The following is a 23,137-nucleotide window of genomic DNA, read 5'->3' as shown; positions in this document are numbered from 1 at the left end:
AAAACTATATGCTATACAGTCGGGATTTGCTCATCATTACTCACCACAGGAGCTTTTGAAGGACTTGTTGTTGTTGCGGTGTGAGCTGATAAACTCTGTATTTTGTAGTTGGGGGTGCAGGGGAGGAGTTCAAAGGCAAGGCACATTAGCAATATTTCAGGTAAGAAATGATGATGGTTCTTACTGAAGCTTGGGCTATAGGACTGAACAAGAAGTGATAGATTCAAGAGAAGATTAGAAGATAGTATCTAATAAATATCCTTTATGAGTGTAATTTTAAAAAATGAGCTTGTGAGATTGGGCAAAGAAAGGAAGGCCTGAGAGGCAGGGAGAGCTGAGGTTTCTAGATGCTGTATGAATATCAAATATTTATAGAGGAAGACTTCAGTAGTTTTGGTTTTTTAGTATATTTCCGATCTCAGTCACAGAAAATGTTGGTAGTAACAAATCAAAACCTGATTTTATTTTTCTTTAATTTCAGTTAATATTCTCCTACCTATGGTTTTTTTCTTTTTGGTAGATTTAAAATCACATGTTATTTTAACCATTTAGCAGTTATTGTTCTGAAAGTGAGGCAGTGGATTTTGACCAGCAGTAGGAAGAGGGATGGTGGAGAGTTCTATCTTATTTTCAATTATTGGCCTTTTAATGTAATATAACTTATTAGAGTGTTTCACAGTTTTAGCTATTAACTATCAAGTTAATAGAAACTTCTCATTAGAAAATATAAAATCTCATGAATAAAATCACATTATAGAATATGGCCTGATTCATAAGTATTTCCCAATAGAGGTGAATTATATGAGTTTCTTTTTTCTACCAATAGGGAAAAAGTTGGATTGTTAAAAGAAGTTATGAAGATTTTCGGGTACTTGATAAACATCTTCATCTGTGTATTTATGACCGAAGATTTTCCCAGCTCTCAGAACTTCCCCGTTCTGACACCCTGAAGGACAGTCCAGAGGTAAGCATTTAGTACATTTAGTACAGAGGTAATCACTATATATGAGTTTGCAGAAGTTTTTGTCTGTATACTAAACAAAAGCTTATACTGAACACGCAGGGTGATTCCTGGGACTACTTGCCTGTTTCATAACTGAAAAGTTAGTAATGTTAAATATAATGTTTAGAATGAAAGTAGGTTCAGTGTGTAATTTTATAAGGGAAAACAACTCATAACAATATATCAACAAGCAATATATATGAGCAAAACATTCTCCAGAGAGCACATAAAAGTGGAAGCAAAAATATGGAAAAACATTGCCTTTCATGATCAAAGGGATCCATATTAACAGTGTTGAGTAGTTTATGACAGCATGCTGTGTGTATGCACCTACCTTCACCCCTACAAAAAAATAAATAGTAAAAACGTAAAAGATTTCTAAACAGAGATTCTTTATAGCATCATTAAACCAAAAGTACCATTGGGAATCAAAAATTGTAAGGAATCTTAAAAAGTAGATGGGATAAGGTTTATGGGGAAAAGTAAATATAGCCTAAACATGTAAGTGCAACAAGACCGCAAAACACAAGGAAACTAGAAAGTTTACACATAGAAACTGAATAAATAAAATAACTGAGAGGTACAAACAAGGCTTTTCGAAGGATGATTACTATCCTCTGAGAGAAAGTGAAGCTGTCACATTCATGAAATGGATTTAAATAAACTAAAATCAGAGATGTTGTAAACGAATATAGGATCATTTAAATTAATTTAGTAAGAGCAAACCTGAGTAACTGGACTCCATACAGAATGTACCCAGCTGAAGAGAAAGTCAGGGAGTTGAATGATCAAGCCAAGTCATTTATAAGAATACAACCCCTGGAAGGGACGGAAAGTTAAAAAGTTGTGAGAGAACAGTTGGGAGTCATGGAGAATAGGTCCAGAGAGGTTTCTACTGATGGGAGTTACAGGAGGAGAGAGTGGATGCAAGGAAATAATTAAAAATTGGTGTAAGCCACTCCCCCTACCAGATCTAAATAAAGTGATGTTCTGAGATTCAGTGGGTTCATTAAGTGCTAAAATATAACGGACACTGCAGCAGGGTCTCAGGAGTGTCTTAAAACACGGATCTCTTTGTACCATAGAAAACCTGAAAGTCCCTTTATCTGCATTTCCCATTTCTGCTTCATTTCATTTTTTTTCTGTTTCATTTTTTTCTCTCAGATTATCCTAAAACATGGCCACTACCAAGAGGTCCCAGGTTTTTATCCCCTTTTAAGAGAGCAGCCAGACTGAGCTAGAATCTGTGTCACAATTCCTAATTCCTGGGTTAGCTCTTGATTGGTCCAACTAATACTGGGGCATATTCCTGGACCAATCGGCTGAACCATGGTATAGGATCACGTATGAACATGGCTGCTCCTGCCACAGGCCATGTGCATGGAAGATTACAGTGGGTCTTGGGGAAAAGGGTTTCTGAGTAGTAGGGGGAAATTTAGGCAGAAAAGCCAAATATGTATCTGCTATAGTTATCTTTTTGCATATTCAGTACAAAAATAGAAAGTGTCAAAATTAGAAACCATGGAATAGTATGATCGCTGATGATAAGGGGCTAGAAATTGAAGCTCTGCATGAGACAGGGGCTGACTTGCTATGTAAGTGCCCATAGTGCTACTGGTAAGTTTCTGTGAAGAGTCCTCTGTAACTATTAAAATGCCTAAAGATCTATAGATTTTTTTCTTCCAGAAACCATCCAGTTTTCCCTGCCAGAGAGCATAGTATCTTTACTCAGAGTTACACTGATCTTTTTCTTTTCAGTCGGTCACTCAGATGCTTATGGCTTACCTGTCACGCCTTTCAGCTATCGCTGGCAACAAGATCAACTGTGGGCCCGCCCTTACCTGGATGGAGGTATTTCCTAATTCACTTTTCATGAAAAATGTATATTTAAATTATCTACTTAAGAAATTTGATATTAACATAATTTTGATGTCTATTGAGCTTCAGGAATCAAAGAAATGAAGTATATTCTCAGCATCTGGGAGGATAGATACGTGATACACGAAATATTTTTTCATCTCAAATCTTTCTTTGATAATCTTGGAAACTAATCTTAATATATTTTATGAATCTCGATGATACCTGTTATTTTGGTGTTTAGTATACTAATGTATATATTCAGCAAGGTGTACATTTTTTTAGTTGACTTAGTAATTGAAAATATTTTTCAGTTATTAGCAAGGGACAACTTTTTAAAGGGTCCTTTTTAAGAGTAAGTATTGAGTGAAACATTATTCAGTAAATAGATTACATATTTATTCTTAATGTGCATATGTAGAGTTATATTGTTTTCTCCTCCCACTGGAAATTGGGAATGCAAGATGGAAAGTGGAAAGAATATAGAACTATGGGCCAACCTGCGTTGAGATCTTGGAAAAAGTATTGAATCTCTTGTAAATTACATAGCCTCTTTCATCTTTAGCATCTCACCTTTAAATGATGATAAGTATTTTTTTTTGGAGTTATGAGGATTAAATTAAACTGTATATGTTATAGGCACAGCACAATGACTAGCATATTTTTACTACCCAGTAAATGGTAGTTTTTTTTTTTAAGACTCTTTGGGTTATTGTATCTCTAAATTAAAATGAATTTCTTTTATAGATAGTCAAAGAAGCATTTGCAAGTCCAGTGTCTTTATCTCATAGTACATTTTCTTTGTGATAGATTGATAATAAGGGAAATCACCTTTTGGTTCATGAGGAGTCATCCATCAACACTCCTGCTGTCGGTGCTGCCCATGTTATCAAGAGGTACACTGCTCGGGCCCCTGACGAACTGACCTTAGAGGTAAATAGTTAAAGTGGTTGTTTGTTATTTGGTTCTTGCTAACTTTCTGGCCTCATCTTTGACTGTTCTTAACCATTTCCTTAATTTTTAAAAAAATGAAAAGCACCAGGTTTTTCCATAGTCTTTTATATTTCAGCCTGTAATATCTTCTATTTTTGTTTAAGTGACAGTACTCATCCTTGAAAACTGAGGTTAAGTGTCTCCTGTTTTGTCTGGGAAGTCATTCTTGATCTCCCTCCCCTCACTCCATGCAAATACATACCCCCCAAAACCTGAATTGAATGTCATTCTGAACTGTGCTCATGGCTTATTGCTGATATATCACTTATTATATTTAATCATGATTGTTCTCCTCTTTGTCTCATTGAGCTTCTGGAAAGCAAGGTCTGTCTTTTTGTGTTTTTGTACCTAAAAACAATACCCAATGATACATTTTTTTTCACATATTGTTGAAAGATTGAGTTAAAGAACAGATAAAAGGTGAAATGAACACATCTTGCTACCACATATAAAAGGAGGGGAATTAAATTTTTTCCTCTAAAGATATATATTGGCTAATGAGAGAAAAAAAATGCTGACAGTTACTAAATTTAAGAAATAACAGTATAACTTTTTACTGCATAGAATCTGAACTGTTTTCAAACTTTTAGGTTCTGTACAGAAAGAAATGTAGGTCTTGGAATGATGATGTTAGCATATATGGCTTTACAAAATGGCTTATACATGATATGTAAGATCAGTTGTGAATATACAAAAGAAAAATTCCTAAAGCTCTATAGTATATGTTAGTAACATTGCTCTGAAGTTCTTAACTATGTTTTATCATAGATATCAGCATTTCTTTTGATTGAAGAATATAACTTCCATTGAATATATTATTAAAAACTATTGTAATTTTTATATTTATGATTTTATATGAGTTTAAACTCAGTAGTTTTTCTTTTACAGTGAAGAAAGTTAGCTCTTTAGTGGATATAATTATATTTTACTATCTATTGAAAGAAGTGTAGTTGTCATCAAATTTTATACTTACTAAGAATAACCCATCCTAGGCCCTTTTCTGTATGATTAAATAAGATATGTCAAGAGCTCAGTACAGTGCCTGGCACATGGTAAGCACTCACTAAATGTAATATTAAGGGAATCTGTTACTGTTTCTAAACATGAATATTTAAAATTATCTTTTATAAGTGAATCTGATCACTCTCAGTGACAGCAGTAACAGTATTTTAACAGAAGTGATGATAATGGTGTGATGCCTAGCATTAAAAATCTTATGCTATGAATCTGGCTTTCTGAAGTTACTGCACCTGTGTTAGTTGAATCACAGTCTTTGTGCTGCTTAACTTTTTGTAGACCTCTCTTTAACAAATCATAAGATAATTAAATGATTTTTAAAAAGAAATGGTACTTTTTTTGGAAATTACTGGCCAGAGCATGAATAGTACTTTACCTTTTCATACAGTTCGGATTTAAATTCTAGGTATAACAATTGGTTTAAAATTTAACTAAAACCATTTTGCTTAAAATTTTGATTCTCCTAGGTGGGAGACATTGTTTCTGTTATTGACATGCCCCCGAAAGTGTTAAGCACATGGTGGAGAGGCAAGCACGGATTCCAGGTAGGCAGCAGCAAATTAGGTGTGGGAAAATTCAAAGGAAAGTTTTTTTATGATTCAGTAATACTTTTGTTTACATGTGCTGGTAATGGACTTTGTCATCAGAAATTTTGTCTGCAACGATAGAAAATGCAGATAGTAATGATAATAGATTTAGATTTCCTTTTCTAATTACTATTTTGGTTGTTTCTTATCTCCTTTTTCATCTTTAAATGGTGGTGAAGCCAAAATGTGAATAGCATCTCAGACCTCATGGCCACTTTTAGGTTACAAGGCCTGTGGAGTGACCTTGCTTTTAATACAGGTTGTTAATCGGGATTCACATATATTTCCTCTCTGGAATTAAGTCAGTTTGATTAATATTTCTCTATAAAAAGGCATTGTAACTGTTATGTAAACTTACTTTTAATTACAGAACAACAGAATCTAAAGCAATCTCATTTCTTTTTCTATATTCAGTAGTCCCTTATCTACGGTTTCCCTTTCCATGGTTTCAGTTACCTGAGGTTAACCAAGGTTCGAAAACATTAAATGGATAATTCCAAAAATAAATAATTCATAAATTTTAAACTGCATGCTGTTCTGAGTAGTGTGATAAAATCTCTCTCTGTCCCACCCCGGACGTGAATCATCCCTTTGTCCAGCATATCCACACTGTAGATGCTGCCTGCCCCATTAGTCATTCAGTAGCCCTCTCAGTTATCAGGTTGACTGTTGAGGTATTAAGGTGCTGTGTTCAAGTAATCCTTATTTGACTTAATTGTTTTAGTCGATTATTAGTTATTGTAATGAATCTCTTACTGTGCCTAATTGATAAATTAAACTTTATCATACGTATGCATGTATAGGAAAAAGTATCCTAGGGTTTGGTACTATCTGTGATTTCAGGCATTCCCTGAGTGGTCTTGGAACATATTTCTTGCAGATAAGGAGGGACTACTTTATGGCTAAACAGTTTTGAGACCTGATAATAACATCTATTAGACTGACTTAGCAACTACTTTTTATGAGGAGTCTCTGAAAATGCCTTAAAGTTGTATCCTTAACATATAGCCTGTGGTTTTTTGTGGTCTACTTATACAAGTGTTACTAAATACTACATAAATAAAATGCTCCTGCTATATTGTTAGAAATTTGATAAGCATTGTATAAATACTTTGAGTTCTAACTACATATTAAATAAAAATGAATTATTAGCTTTTTATAAAATATATTTTTTATTAAAACATAATAATACAATTTAAAACATTATAAGATGGTGGATAAGAGTGGGCTCTGGCTCCAGATTGTCTGGGTTTTAATCCTGTGTTGTCTCGGGCAAATTGTTTAATTCTCTGTGTCTCAGTTTCCTCATTTGTAAAATGGGGATTATGGGACTATTGTTTACCTCACATGATTATCTTGAAGATTAAATATGTGAGAATAAAAATAGAACATGCTTATTAGACCAGGTCTGATGTATAATTTTTTTTTAATCAATAAGTGTTGATTTTTAAATTTAAAGAATTCTGGTTTTTATTTTACAAGTTTAATTTTATCTATCCCTTTCCCTATTATGAAAGCATCTATAGTAATTTAATTTGGTTGTTAAGACCAGAAAAACCCTATCACATTACCCCAGAACTCTTCTTGTTTGTGCTATTGGGATCCCCCTCCATCTGTGCTCTGATTTCTTACCAGCTATGAATAAGTGCTTTTGATTAAATATAAAACTAAATAGAAGACTACAGTTATCTTTTTCCTATTAAGGAGTCAGTTCTTCATGTTAGTGGAAATGAACAATAGACTTAAGGGTCTCAAAGATGATCAAAAGATTAATTTGGCTTTAAAATAATAGTTATGTTGTGGTCTTGATGTTACTACTAACTTTCTTCTGTCTGTCTGTCTGTCTGTCTATCTTATCTATCTATCTATCTATCTATCTATCTATCTATCTATCTATCTATGTGTAACACCTTAGGGAAGTCATTTGCTTTTTTTGGATTTGAGTTTCTTCTTAAAATCAGAGGGTTTCACTTAAAATCTCTCTATTCCTTCTCAACATTTAAATTCTATGATTGTCTTCCCTTTGTTTATGTAACAGATATTTATTCAGTACTGATTGTGTGCTAAGTGTATAGCTTTATACCCCAAAGTTTTGTTGAGACGCACACAATTAGTTCATTGCCTAAACAAACTAATTCTTTTCAAAGTGAGTATAAATTAACTAGTCTAAAACTAGTTAAACATCAGTTTATTGCCAAAACAAATTATTGAAAACAAAAACGAAATTTCTAACTTCAAAGATTGATTTGTAACCGATAATGAAAAATCTTTCCTATAGGAATGCTATTTTTCATCTTGATTGGTCTTAGAAAGGCAATCGTATCTCCATGGATCATGTTGGAGTGTGCCTGTGAGAAGAGGTATTGATGTGGGGGGTGCCCGTGTAACCAGGAACAAGTCTTTAAATGTTACTGTCAAACTTTTTTTAAAAAGAAATTCAGGCTAGGGGCAGTGGCTTACACCTGTAATCCCAGCACTTTGGGAGGCCGAGGTGGGTGGATCATGAGGTCAGGAGTTCAAGACAAGCCTGGCCAACATGATGAAACCCCATCTCTACTAAAAATACAAAAATTAGCTGGGCTTGGTGGCGCATGTTTGTAATCCCAGCTGCTTGGGAGGCTGAGGCAGGAGAATCTCTTGAACCCGGGAGGTAGAGGTTACAGTGAGCTGAGATCATGCCACTGCACTCCAGCTTGGGTGACAGAGCAAGACTCCACCTCAAAAAAAAAAAAAAAAAAAAATTGCAAATCAGTATTTTAAGGCAGGAATCCACAGTTCAGCATTCCTTGCTGTTTCTACACATTAGTCCATTTCTAAGAGCACTCATGGTTAATTGCAGGGAAAGGTGTGAAAGAGGAGACATGTTGAGCATCTGTTACCTGCAAAGTATAGCTCAGTACTTTACATGCAGTGTTTTCTTTAATTTCACAAAGCTTCTAGGTAGTTACTGTCCTCCATTTTTATGGAGAGAAAACAGTTTTTGAGAGGTTTAATAAGTAGTCAGGATGCTAAGTCAGTTAAGTGAAGGGAGTAGGGACTGAGATCTAAGTCTGCTCCATCTCATTGCCTGAAGAGCACTAAGCATGATTTTTACATTCACTCTCAGATTATTAACGTTCTTCATGTCAGTTTTCTACCATATGGAAAGGAACATCTTTCCTGCTCAACCAGCAAGAAATATAGTGTAAAGATTAGCCAACTGTGGACTGCAAAGCATACATGTTTACTGGTGGGAACATTGCTGTTACTGCGTGTTATGTTTTTGTGTGATGATTAATCAATTGTATGCTGGAGAAAAACTCTTCAGACTGTTCATGATGTCCCCTACCTTTGTTAGGTATTTTTAAATTGTAAGCGTGTGCTCCTCCTGGGAGACACTCTGTTGAGAGAGGAAGACAATCATGGTAACTGTACATCAGACATCTTTCCACATCCTGATTTTCAAGTTTAACTGAAATAATAGCTTAGTTCGGTGGTTTTTATACTTTTTCTTTTAATCCAGTGGAATTACTAATCAAACAGAATCATGCGCAGAACCTCAGTGCAAGAAAAAGTAACCATGGAGCTGCCCTGATTGGTTTAAGTGGGAAACGCTGGGCCTTATCCCCATGCAGCCCACCTGGCTGGCCTCCTTCAGGCCTTCTGCAGCAGCCCTGAGGGGCCTCAGTAGGGGTGAAAACCATGAGTTTAGCTTACTAGTGGACCTCACTTTGTGTAGTAGATACATCAAAAGCTATTTTAAAATTTTAATTTTGAAAAGCCAGCCAACAGTCTAAAGTTAATAGGGAAACATGTTCTTTATAAGAAGATTTTTCATGACTCCTGTTAGAAGGATAATATCTAGAGTTATAAAATTTCTCTAATGTAAATTATGTCTGAATTCCTGGTACTTCATATATTCTGATATGGATGGGGGATATCATATATTCATATATTCTGATATGGATGGGGGCAAATAATCACATATATATGATTGTATATGAGATATATATATATATAGAGAGAGAGAGAGAGAGTGTGTGTGTGTGTGTGTGTGTGTGTGTGTGTGTATATTTTTTTTTCTGTTATTGGGCATAACAGATGACCCACTGATACTTCTGCCAGTGGGAGCTGTTTCTAGGATTTATTCATCCCTTAATTGGTCTGTTAGGTACTGTGTTCATTTGCTAGGGCTACTGTAGTAAAATACCACAAACTGGGTGGCTTAAAAATTAATAGCAAATATATTTTCCTACAGTTCTGGAAGCTAGAAGTTAAGGTACCAGAAGGTTTAGTTTTTTTCAAAAGGCTTCTCTCCTTGGCTCACAGATGGTCACTTTCTTGCGTGTCCTTACATGGCCTTTCCTCTCTGTGTTTGTCTGTGTCCTAATCCCTTCTTCTTGTAAGGACATCAGTCAGATTAGGTTAGGGGCCACCTCATTTAACCTAATTACCTCTTTAAAAGTTCCCATCTCTAAATACGCAGTTAATCCATGAACAACGTGTGTTTGACCTTTGCGAGTCCACTAATACACAGATTTTTTTTTTTTTTTTTTTATCAAACGCTATTGAAAATACAGTATTTGTGGGATGTGAAACCCTCATATATGGAGGGCAGGCTTTTGGAATATGACGTGGGATTTGAGTATGTGTGGATTTGGCTATATGAGGGGGTTCTGGAACCAATCCCCCAGCTATGTTGAGAAATGACTGTAGTCGCATCCTGAGTTTCTGGGGGTTAGGAATTCAACATTATGAATTTTGGGGGAGAGGGGCACAATTTTTAGCCCATAATAGATGTCAACCAGTCCTGAATGGAGAAGCTGGTTGAGCCACCTTTAGGGCTGGCCTGAAGGCACCTGAGGGACTCTCTTACATAGACTTGGTGGGGAACAGGTCCCTACCTGAGCCAGGCTGGTTTCAGGCTCAAGGCAGGCAGGACATGGAGGACTAGCAGACCTCAGTACTCTCCTTGGGGTCTCTCTGATGAGTAGGGAGTAGGGCTCACCAGGATTCCCTGGAAGGTGCAGGAGGGCTTCCTAGAGGAGGTTACACTGGAGCACAGTGTTGCATATGTCTTCTGCCGAGAGGATGTCCGATGACCCACTGATGCTTCTGTCAGCAGGTGCACAGGCCAGGCGGGGAACAGCATGCACCTCGGTCAGCCAGCTCGCCTGGCTCTGGTTACATGTGAACCCTGTCAACTGGGCTCCGGCTGCAGAACACGGAGGAGGCTGTGCGTCACAGAGGTGGCAGTGTCTTCCCTAGCAGTGTAAAGGAAACGAGGGCCTCGTCTTGGTGTTGGCTGTCACCGGTGGTTTTCCTAGGGATTGAGATGACTTAGTGCAGGCCTCTCTCAGGAGAGAAGGGAAGAGGAGCAAGGATGTGGGCTACTGCTTCCCATGATGGAGGCTGAGTGAGCTGAGGTGTCACCCTCTTGAGCGCTGCTGCAACACTTTCTGAAGCTCGTTGTTGACACCCAGGCCCGATATGTCTGCATTTGCAGCTCTGCTCAGCTCGATGTGTTCATGGCATGTGATCTGGACTCCAGTTTTCTTTTGTCAAGGTCACACTATGTGTGTGTGATCTCCTTTCTGGCCAGCTGTCAGGGCATGAGAAGGCACAAGTCTCTGTGCAGTGGTCCTTCCTTAATATTGCTGTGAACTCATGCTATATAGTGGTGGTATTGTGATTTTAATATTTTAAAAATAGAGCTGGATGTGGTTCCTCATACCTGTAATCCTAGCACTTTGGGAGGCCAAAGTGGGAAGATTGCTTGGACCCCGGAATTTGAGACCAGCCTGGCCAACATGGTGAAACCTCATCTCTACTAAAATTATAAAACTGACCCAGGCGAAGTGGTACATGTCTATAGTCTAAGCTGCTTGGGAGGCTGAGGCAGGAGGACCACGTGAGCCTGGCAGGTGGAGGTTGCAGTGAGCCAAGAGCCAGACCTTGTCAAAAATAAAAATAATAATCAATAGACTTGATTTTTGTATAGTTACAGATTTACAGAATAATTGAGCAGATAGTTCAGAGTTTCATGTAATACCCCTGCCCACTCCCCTCACCTATACCTTCCCGTCATTCACATTTGCTTTACAGTACATTGAATAGAATCAGCAAAATGCTGATCTTTACCAACCATCAGCTGATTAGCTGAGTTTACCTACAGCACTGACTGAGCACTGTTTCTAGAAGAGTGGTCTAAGGAGCACCAGGGCCAGAATCACACAGAAAAAAATACAGTCTCAAATCATACCTTGCAACTGTTGAAACAATTTTGGGGCTTACTTTTTGTTATAATTAATGAATCAATATTGATATACTATTATTAACTAAAGTCCATTGTTTATGTTAGAGTTCCCTCTTGGTGTGCATTCTCTGGGTTTTGACAAATGTGTAATAGCATGTATCCACCATTATAGTTTTCATACTGAATAGTTTTATTGCCCTAAAAATCTCCTGTGCTTCTCCTATTTTTCCTTTCCTGCTGAACCCTTCACAACCTGTGATCTTTCACTGTCATGTCTTTTCCAAAATATCCGTATTGTTGGAATCGTATAGTATGTGGCCTTTTCAGACTGGCTTCTTTTACTTAGTAATATGCATTTAAGGTTCCTCTGTGTCTTTCTCTGGCTTGATAGCTTCTTTTTGAATCACTATCTAATATTCAGTGTCATGGATATGCCACAGTTTATATATTCAAGTATTGAAGGACCTTGTGGTTGCTTTCATGTTTTTAGCAATTATGAATGAAACTGCTATAAACATCTATGTGCAGGTTATTGTGTGGACATAAGTTTTCAAGTCTTTTGAGTAAATACCAAGGAATATCATTGCTGGATCATATGGTAAGAGTATGTTGAATTTGGTGAGAAGCCACAACACTGTCTGCCAAAGTGCCTGTATCATTTTGCATTGTTACTAGCAGTGAATGAGAGTTTCTGCTGTTCCACATCCTCACCAACATTTGATAATTGCCAGTTTAAAAAAAATAGCCATTCTAATAGGTCCAACACATAAAGTTAGTTTGAGGAATAGTGTTTACCAAATGTATTGAAGGGTGCTGTTCTGCTCTCTTCATTTTGTTACCAGTAATTCTTTTTATTCTCCCTTTGCCACTGACTCTTAAACTTGAATGTTTAAAGGAGGCTATGTTTAAATATCAAATCCCAGGGCCTAAGCCCTACAGTTCGTTTCAGTCGTTGTGGGGTAGGATCTAAGACTATTTTGGTCCATGTGTGCTGCAGGTCAATTCTGCTACTCACCTGCATTTTGCCAAGTTCTATTCTAAGTATTGCACTAGCCCAGACCATAATTTAGCCGTGGGAACAGAAGGATAAGTTCATCCATGTGTTTAAATTATACTGTGACTCTCTTTCTTTTCTTAAACTTCTGGGAGTAGGAAGTGTGAAATTATATTAACTACAGTAATTTGAAATTTTGAAATCTGTGTTTTTTATTTGTCACCTAAGGAGTATATTGAATCTCTCATCTTTGTTGTCTGAGGTATTTCATCATATAATATACTTCAGAAAGTAAAAGTAAAAACTCTTCCCTTTTTTTTATTTTTAAACTAACTGGCATTATTAATAGATTTGTGTTCTTGTCTGTAAATGATTGTTAGAAATATGAGGTGATACCTCAGAAAACCCTTTTTTCTAGGTAAAGGCATTACACAAATACAACATGTTAATATATTTTAGGATTGTTTGTTATGTGCAGTGTCTCTCAGAGTTTTAGCTAGGAGCCATTGGTATCTGAATGAGAGAAACGTGATAAAAATGGGTATTGATCATCAGAATCTCAGGGGATGGGGTCAGGAGTCTGAATTTTAACAGGTTTTTCAGATGATTATTATGCACAGAACATGAGAACTGCTGATGTAGGCTCGCACTGTTTATCTTGTGTGCAGGTAAAGGGAGCAATCAGACACAGTTTAGAAATTGTGTTTTGTTTCTCCCTCCCCTCAGAAAATCTTCCGTAAAGCACATCTGGGACACAGTTAATCTAATGGCTAGAATCTCACTTAGAGAGTGACAGAATTTTATATACCCCATGTTCTCTTGGTTTTCCATGAGATGATCAAGGATCACCTATTTCGTTTTTCATAGTTATCCCCAAATATTGTGAGTTTTCGTGCACAAGTATCAGAGAAGCGATTCTTGGACAGCACAGTTTTTTTTTTTTACCTCAAGAGTATAATGTGGCTCCAGGTAACTTAGTTTTAGAGAAATCATCTTTATTTCAAGGGGCAGATATTCAGAAACCTTATCTTGTATAGTAGCTTAATGGATTTGCTTATTTCTCTGCTTATTTATGTAAAAACTATCATATTCATGTAATATCCTAGAATCCAAAGCTGCATCTTTTCATTATTCAAAATCAAATAGAGCAAAATGTTTACTCTCCAGTTAAGTAATGGGAAATCATATTATACTGTGAGTTTTCATCTGTGACATAATTTCAAGAGAAGGGGAATTATGTGATAATGCAAATGAAATAAATTGCTAACATTTCTTGAGTACTTAGGTGTGCTTTTCGAAGTGCTTACCACTAACCTTTTAATTCCACAACTCCATGAAGGTACTATAATGATCTCATTTTAGATGAAGAAACTAAAGCATAAAGGGTTAAACAACTAGCCCTTTGTCATTACACTGTATATTGCAGAGTTTCTGTTGAAGCCTATGCATTTTAGGCATATAACAGAGCATGGTAATAATTTAATGAATAATAGTGGCTCTGCTTGTTTACTTGTGTGAATCATAGATTTTTCTATAGTGGATGATGATAGTGGACCATCTGGTTCTAAACTATCATTTTAAAATGGTAGAAATCTGGAGACAAATTTAGATAAATTTTTCTGTTTCACAAAGACAGTAAGTACGTGGTATAGCCAGGACCAGAATACAAGCGTGATGACTTTTAATTTTGTATTTCTTTTCCTTTTGGGACATAGAAATAAATACATTTTCTTAATTTATGTTTTATTTGTTGCTACTTTTTCTTATTAGTGCCATTAGATATATTGATGTTGGAGATAAATTTCCTACTTGATAGCTTTTTGTTAATTTATAACATCAGAATATGTCTTACCAACCGAGGCTTAAACACTCAATTTTTTAAATCAGCATTAAAGAACACTTTATTTGTTTTTAGTTTTTTTCTTTTTTTTATTATACTTTAAGTTCTAGGGTACATGTGCACAATGTGCAGGTTTGTTACATATGTATACATGTAAAAACTCAATTTTATAGAAATTATTGACAAAATGGCTGTGGCAGTAGTTCTTAATCTTATTAAACCCTAATACCCCCTCTTTATGACAAGTATTTTCTAAAATCCTTTTTTGTCATTCTAAAATGGAATTTACAAATTATTTAACTACTTCCATTAATATACACTTTCAAAAAAGTCAGCATAAATTTTCAGATATAAAGGAGAAATAAAAGGAAAGTAATTTATGTATTTAAAATACACAGTATGTTTTTAAATATAAATACTTGGGACAACTATGTGAAGACCTTGTTATCCTAAATGTAGTCCACAGACTTGCAGCATTCACTTCAGTCAGAAAATGTATAAAACCCATGTATAATAGTACTAAAAATAGGAAATACTTAGGACTGTATCTGAAAAAAAAAAAGATGTGAAAGAGCTATATACTGAAAACTACAGAACATTGCTAAGAGACATTAAAGAAGATCCAAATAAATGGAGAGATATACTGTTTTTATGGGTTGGAAGACTGTATATTTTTTAAGATGACGTTTCTTCCCATATTGATCTAAGTCAAAATCCCAGGCAGGCTCTTGTGTAGAAATATACAAGCAAGTTAAACAATTCAAATGGAAATGCAAAGGACCTGGAATATAATAGCCAAAACAAATTTGAAAAAGAACAAAGTTGGAGAACTAACACTAACTGAAGATTTACTACAAAGCTACAGTTTTCAAGAGAGTGTGGTATTGGTGGAAAGATAGATAAGTAGATCAGTGGGAAAGAATAGACAGTCCTGAAATACATACATACAGTTGTACACATGGACAACTGATTTTCAGCAAAGTTCAAAAGTCAGTTCAGTGAAGAGATGTAATGGCAGTGGAACACTTGGATATCCAGACGTCTCCAAAGTAAACTTTATTTATTTTACCATCTACAAAAATTAAAATAGATAATATACCTAAATGTTTATAAAGTATAAACTATAAAACTTCAAGAAGAAAACTTAGGAGAAAACTTTTGTGGCTTTGGATTAGGTGAAGATGTCTCTTTTTTTTTTTTTTTTTTTTTTTTTTTGAGACAGAATCTTGCTGTGTCACCAGGCTGGAGTGCAGTGGCCCAATCTCGGCTCACTGCAACCTCCGCCTCCTGGGTTCAAGCGATTCTCCCACTTCAGCTTCCCGAGTAGTTGGGACTACAGGCGCAGGCCACCACGCCCAGCTAATTTTTGTATTTTTAGTAGAGACAGGGTTTCACCATGTTGGCCAGGATGGTCTCGATCTCCTGACCTTGTGATCTGCCTGCCTCAGCCTCCCAAAGTGCTGGGATTACAGGCGTGAGCCACCACGCCCAGCCAATATACCTAAATGTTTATAAAGTATAAACTGTAAAACTTCAAGAAGAAAACATAGGAGAAAACTTTTGTGGCTTTGGATTAGGCAAAGATTTCTTTAATGTGACGTCAGAAGAACAATTCATAAAAATAATTTAATTTCATCAAAATTTAAAACTTCTGCTCTTAAACAAATTTACAAGAAAACAAACCCATCAAAAAGTGGGCAAAGGATATAAACAGACACTTCTCAAAAGAAGACATTTATGTGACCAACAAACATAAGAGAAAAAGCTCATCATCACTGGTCATTAGAGAAATGCAAATCAAAACCACAGTGAGATACCATCCCACACCAGTTAGAATGGCGATTATTAAAAAGTCAGGAAACAACAGATGCTGGAGAGGATGTGGAGAAATAGGAACGCTTTTACACTGTTGGCGGGAGTGTAAATTAGTTCAACCATTATGGAAGACAGTGTGGCAGTTCCTCAAGGATCTAGAACCAGAAATACCATTTGACTCAGCAATCTCATTACTGGATATATACCCAAAGGATTATAAATTATTCTACTATAAAGACACATGCACATGTATGTTTATTGCAGCATTGTTCACAATAGCAAAGACTTGGAACCAACCCAAATGCCCATCAATGATAGACTGAATAAAGAAAATGTGGCACATATATACCATGGAATACTATGCAGCCATAAAAAAAGGATGGGTTCATGTCCTTTGCAGGGACATGGATGACGCTGGAAACCATCATTCTCAGCAAACTAACACAGGAACAGAAAACCAAACACCACGTGTTCTCACTCATAAGCAGGAGTTGAACAGTGAGAACACATGGACACAGGGATGGGAGCATCACACATGGGCCTGTTGTGGGGTGGGGGACTAGGGAACGGATAGCATTAGGAGAAATACCTAATGTAGATGACAAGTTGATGGGTGCAGCAGACCACCATGGCACATGTATACCTATGTAACAAACCTGCCTGTTCTGCACATGTATCCCAGAACTTAAAGTATAATAAAGAAATAATTAATTTTTTTAAAAAAACTTTCGGCTCTTTGGAAGTCATATTTACTAGTACAGAAAGACAAACCACAGACTGGGAGAAAATATTTGCAGTGATTATATCTGATAAAGGATTTGTATCAGAACATACAAAGAACTCTCACTGGGCAAGCTCAGTAGCATGTGCCTGTAGTCCCGGCTACTTGGGAGGCTGAGGCAGGAGGATTGCTTGAGCCCATGAATTTGAGGCCAGCCTGGGCAACATACTGAGATGCTATTTTTTAAAAAACAAAAACTCTCAAAATTAAAGAAGAAAGCAATTCAATTTAAAAAATAGGCAAAGATTGGAAGAGATATCATCAAAAGGATATGTGAATGGCAAATTAATACATAGATATCCAACATCAATAGTCATTCGAGAAATGTAGGTTAAAACAACAATGAGGTATTGATTCATACTTATTAAAATTGCAAGGATGTGGAAGAATTGGAATTCTCATACAGTGCTGGTGGGAATTTAAGATGTCACAACTCATTTGAAAACAGTTTAGCAGTTTCTCAAGTTAAACACTCAGTAAGTCATCACTTAATGTTGTTGGTTGGTTCTTGGAAACTGCAACTTTAAGCAAAATGACATACTGTCTAATGAAACCAATTTTATCATTGGCTAGTTGATATAAATAAGAATTAAGTTCCCACAGCACAGAGTAAGTCAGTTCACAGTTTCCAATGTGAACATCAATGACGTTAAGGGAGGAATTACTGTACACTTACCACACGATCTAACTGTTTACAGAAAAAGCATGTGTCCATATAGAAACTCATACATGAATGTTCATAGCATCTTTATATGTAATAGTTTAAAACTGGAAACGACCCTAATATCTGTCAACAGCAGATTAATAGACAAATGGTGGTGTCCATACAATAGAATATTACTTAGCAATGAAAGGAATACACAGTTGATAAATACAGCAACATGAGTGATCCTCAAAGATATGCTGCATGAAAGAAGGCAGACAAAAAAGAGTATATTACATAAGACTTCATTTATGTAAAATTATAGAAAATGGAAAGTAATATATCGTGATAAAAAGTAGATGAGTAATTGCCCGAGGAGCAGTGATGGGAGGATAGGGGGAAGGAAGGATTACAAAGAGATATAAGGAAACTTTTGGGGTTGATGGATATATTATAATCTTGATTGTGGTAATAGTTTCATGGGTGTTTTATCAAAATGTACATTTTAAATATGTGCAGTTTACTTTGGGTTAACTATACCTCAGTTAAGGTGGAAGCAAAAACTGCAGGAGCATTCTTGACTTCATGTTGTTCATGCATCCAATCCAGTTGATCATATCTGTCTCTTCTACCTCTGTGTCGTTTACATTCATATACTGTCCTTCCTTTTTCATGCTGTTGTCATACACTGTAGGTTTTATTCTCTTTCCTAGCCTATTTTGCAAATTCCTGAAGTGGTGTACTGCTTCTTATCTTCCTCCCTTCCTTCCAGCTTGAAAGGTATACAGGCGAATGCTTTTCCTTTTAGAACATGCCTGTTCCTGTGCTGCTTCTGCTCAGAATGTGTCACTTTTATTTCCTACAGAAGGAACTTAAAACTCCTTGTGACGGTATACAAGATCATCCAGGATCTCCGACTTTATTCTCACTTACCAGTCTTACTTTGCACTGCTCTGTTTTAGAAACTGGATGTTCTGCCAGATGTAACTATTATTTCCCCTCTTAGTACACAAGTTGCTTTTTTCTACTCTTGTGTCTTTTTTTTCTATGTGTCTTTCCACTTACAATGCCTACTCTATCCTTTTCTTACTCCTTCCAAGGCTGAAAGGTATTACAAATTAATTAAAACTTTAAAGCAACCGTAATCTAGTTTGTCTTATTTGATATTGTATTATGGCAACTGGGAAAAGAAATTTAATCCCCTCAGCTACTTGCTGTACAATAAACAATTATGTTCAATATTCAGTATTATGCTTAGTATTATCATTCCACTGTTCCTCCCAGTTTTTGCCCATCAATTACTTCTTGCCTTTACTATCCTTCTTTTCCAGTGTAGATTCTAGAGCCTTGATTACATTCACCTGTCACAAATATATTCTTAAACCCTTCACCCTTTGGTTCTTCTCTTTTATCACTAGTGGTCTCTGTTTGGCTTAATGAAAAAAAAAAATAGATACTTTACTACTCCTTACTTAAACTATCATTAGTATCTGATTTTCTTTTTCCAGAGACTTTTTTCTCTTAACTGACTTGACACAGTCTCCTTTGCCAGGACACCCTCCTCTACTAGACCTCTGACGTTTGGTGTTGGACTGCCTTCTTATTCTACACTCTTTGTCCCTTGCTATCTTACTCACTTTCTCAACTTTAAAAACCATATTTATGCCCAACTCTCAGATTTATGTCCTGATCTTTAGCTTTGTTTTTGACTCTCAAACCTGCATATCCGGCTGCAAGAGTAATTTTTTATTTAAATGGAAATTAGGGAGTTGACATTCAAGGGGACAGTATAAATAAGGCAAAGAAACCAGAAGCAATGTTGTGCTTTTGGGGGACATACAAGGAGAGTGGGGGGTGGGGGAATTGGTAGGAATATCTCAAAGAGCCCAATACAAGAATTACTAGGCTATAAGTAAATGGAACCAGAGCTAAAAAGTAAGGACCTGAGGAACTTATTTCTGGTTTTTGCTTCCTTTGGTGTGTAGCAACTGTTGTTTCTTTGTCTCTTCTCTTCTTTGTTTGGAAAAATATTTCCTAATTCTAACAATTCAATGGAGATCATTGAAGATTTGGAACTAGTTCCAAAATCATAGCAGACAAACTAATTGACTCATTGACTTACCGTCTATTTGATCAACTGTGCTGGGATGGTGTTGGCAGGCCATGGTAGTCAGACTGGGCAGAGACTCTAAAGAAGATTAGGTTCTTTAAGCATGTTTCGGGAGTGGGGAGAAAATAATTGGCATTTCTGGACAATAGCCTGTGAATTTGTATTGGTTCAAATCTCCTTAGTGATGTGATTTTTTTTTTTCTCCAGCAGTACACAGACATGCAAGTATGGTAGTGAATTGATTTAGTTGTGGTGGTTTGCTGGATTGGTTTGGCAGGAAGTTAATATTGCAAGGAAATTAAAGGGTACTGATTTAAAACAAATGCTCAATCACAGGGTCCATATTGGGTAGCAAACAAAACAAAAAAAACCTGGAATTGTGGGGATAAGTACCTTGGGGGGAAATGTGAAGGGGATGGGATGTCTCTGTTTGTACTTTTGTTGTTATAGAATATCAACACTAGAGACCTGAGAGGATAGGAAGTTGTAGTCAGAAAATGAAAAACTGGAGTTTTAACACTCTGAGGCCAAATAATTCCAATTGAAAAATCTGTGATATATTTTGAGGAGTGAGCAGTGCTTCTACTAAGTTTAATTTGAAAAATGTTTGGCTACGCCAACAGTGCTAAAGATTCGCTAGCCATAAATTAAATAAATAAACCAATAGAAGAGAATTTTTTTTTTTTTTTTGAGACGGAGTCTTTCACTCTGTCACCCAGGCTGGAGTGCAGTGGCTCGATATCTGCTCACTGCAAGCTCTGTCTCCTGGGTTCACACCATTCTCCTGCCTCAGCCTCCCAAGTAGCTGGGACTACAGGCACCTGCCACCATGCCCGGCTAATTTTTTGTATTTTTTTTTAGTAGAGACGGGGTTTCACCATTTTAGCCAGGATGGTCTTGATCTCCTGACCTCATGATCCGCCCGCCTCGGCCTCCCAAAGTGCTGGGATTACAGGCGTGAGCCACCGCGCCCGGCCAAGAATTTTTTTTTTTAAGTCAGCGATAAGCACATGATCGTTATGCTGAATTCCTTTTTAGGTTTTTGTTGATTGCCTCAAAGAGACTATAGTTAGGATTAGGTTCTGTTGTTAACTCTACTGTTTCCAAAGCTCCAGGCTTATTTTATTGCAGTAGTTTCTTCTCTAATATTCCTTTTAAGTTACACCAAAGTATTTTTCAGCACATACACTCACTTTAGAAGCCAAACCGGGTTTTCTTTTTAGTCTGAGTATTCCCCAAGGTAGAAGAAGATCAGAAGAACCAGATTACAGTCTGTTCCCTTTACATCTCTCCTGGTTCTCCTAGAGTCAGAGGGTGAGCCATATGCTTGCTAAGCTACTAGAAACTGATTATCAGAAGCTGTTAGAGGTGGATAGGCGCAGGACGAAGTGTATGAATATACATCAGTGGTCAGCTGGAGCCAACTGTGAAATTTTGTAGGACAGTTGTTAAAAACAGCCATTATTAAAAATTAAGGTATATATATTTACAATGAAATGAATTGTATTAAAAACAAAGGTAATAATCAAATATATTTTGTAATTATTTTACCACATTTTACCATTTATGCTCTTGAAGTTATTTCCAGCTACTCTATCTGTATGCTTTCAATACTGTATAACTGAGTGCCCTTCTGCTTCTCTTTCCAATTTTGTGTTCAGTTGTATCAAGTTGGTAGCTTGAAACCAGCCATGATGGGAGTGTGTATACGGTGGGCGCTGGAAAACACTGGAAATGAAGGCCTTTCCCCCGTGGAGAGCTAGTTGTTAAACATTTACCAGCACACCATGGTATAGATTAGCATGTCTGGTGGCTTTTTGCTTTATTTCAAAGACTTGAGTGAAAACAGTCAACAGGGAGGTCTCCTCTTTTCAAGACCATTCCTAACCTGTTCCAGCCCTGTCTCTACATTGTTCTTTTCCTTCTATTACTGTGTTTTTATTACCTACTTCTTTACCGTCATGGGCCCTAGATGCTGGCTTTTTCTCCATCTTCCATTCTCTTCCTGGAGTTGAATCTCATTTTGACCCCTGCCAATATACCCAATTCTGCTCTCCCTTTCCAGCCATGTAAATTGAAGCTTTAGAAATTGCCACAGCTGCAGAAAGAATAAGATACAGAACAAGATGACATAGCTAATAGATCATATTTTCAGAGTTCCAGTCACTTTTTACCATTTGACATTTTATCAAAATTGTTACTATTTGGTGAAATCTTAGGTGAAGTATTCATTAGAAAAGTATAAGTGTTCATTAACTGTACTTTTAAAGTTAGTTCCATTCTCGTGTGTAATATTTTCAAGAGAACACAATTTTTTATCATGAAAATTTTGTGATGGTAAAATGGAATCTGTTTGCCTTTCACAAATTCATAGAACTGACTCTTTTAAAAGACTCCTTGATGTTTAGGAGTGATTTTGGCTTCAAGAAACAAAAAACTGAGCGGAAAAGATGATGGATTTCTAGTGCTGAGTCAGCAGCTTAATGATGCCAGGCAGGAGTCTCTAAGGTTCTCTCAGCTTTTCACTTATGGTCAAGTGATGACCACGACAGATCTAGTCATGACACCTGTGCTCACGGCACAGAGGAGGAGACAGGATAGTAGCAGAGCTGTGTTTACATGTGTTGCGGCTTTGCCTGAATATAGGGAGTCTGGGAAACTGTCTAGTTTAGCTAGTAGTTAGTGATATTACACTTATGATAAAGTAAAACAAGAGGGCAGGGATTGGAGTTAGGTATTAGGTGAGCCTACTGTAGATCTACCTCTGTATAGTATGCAGTGGCATTTCCCCATATACCTAAACCTAATTCATTGTGATGAATTTAAAAGGTGAAAATGTAACTAATGTATGTGATATAGTTCCCTGAGAAGTGCATTAAGCTCTCTTTGTTCAGTCTTTGTGGGAAGTGATGGAAAACTTTTTTTTTTTTTTGCCAAAAGATACTCGAACTTAGAAACTAGGCAGTTACTTTCACATAAACTCTTTGAGGTATAGGTAGTGTTATCCCTAACGTTACAAATTAGGAAACTAAGACAGAGATGTTAAGCAGTTTGCCATAGATCACAGAACCTAGTAAATGGGTGAGCCAAGTTTAGAATCTGGACTTTTCTCTCAGGCAGTTGCAGATTTTATATATTGAAATGAATTAGAATGTTTTAGAAAGAATGATATTTGAGAGTCAGGAAACTTCAGCAGATATATCCAAAAGGTGGCATTTTGTGTAATATCCATTTGATGGAGGAGCTAGAGCCCTCTAGCAGT

General features: G+C 36.6%; 1 protein-coding gene across 14 annotated transcripts in view, besides 1 other annotated feature; it reads left to right on the top strand.

Moving 5' to 3' along the window:
• The window catches only part of ARHGAP32 (Rho GTPase activating protein 32), a 314,573-nt gene that overhangs the window by 211,938 nt on the left and 79,498 nt on the right, over nt 1–23,137 (top strand). For 13 of the 14 annotated variants that reach the window (XM_047427929.1, XM_047427927.1, NM_001378025.1 and 10 more), the window contains 4 exons: nt 827–964; nt 2,762–2,854; nt 3,671–3,793; nt 5,338–5,415. In XM_047427929.1, the coding sequence (XP_047283885.1) occupies nt 827–964; nt 2,762–2,854; nt 3,671–3,793; nt 5,338–5,415 (432 nt within the window). Of the gene's footprint in view, nt 1–826; nt 965–2,761; nt 2,855–3,670; nt 3,794–5,337; nt 5,416–23,137 lie in introns of those variants that run through there. The other variant, XM_011543075.3, reaches the window with a different exon arrangement.
• Nucleotides 5,379–6,578: an enhancer, noted in NCBI's record as "MED14-independent group 3 enhancer chr11:128931012-128932211 (GRCh37/hg19 assembly coordinates)". NCBI's record gives its function as "activates an origin of replication core promoter dependent on BRD2, BRD4, P300/CBP and CDK7 cofactors, and independent of MED14, by STARR-seq in HCT116 cells {active_cell/tissue: HCT116}" and the evidence as "EXISTENCE:reporter gene assay evidence [ECO:0000049][PMID:35650434]".

The sequence above is a fragment of the Homo sapiens genome, chromosome 11 (genome assembly GCF_000001405.40).
Source record: "Homo sapiens chromosome 11, GRCh38.p14 Primary Assembly".
NCBI lineage: Eukaryota > Metazoa > Chordata > Mammalia > Primates > Hominidae > Homo > Homo sapiens.
The sequence above is the reverse complement of the archived record's forward strand: the minus strand, read 5'-3'. Positions and strand labels throughout refer to the sequence as shown.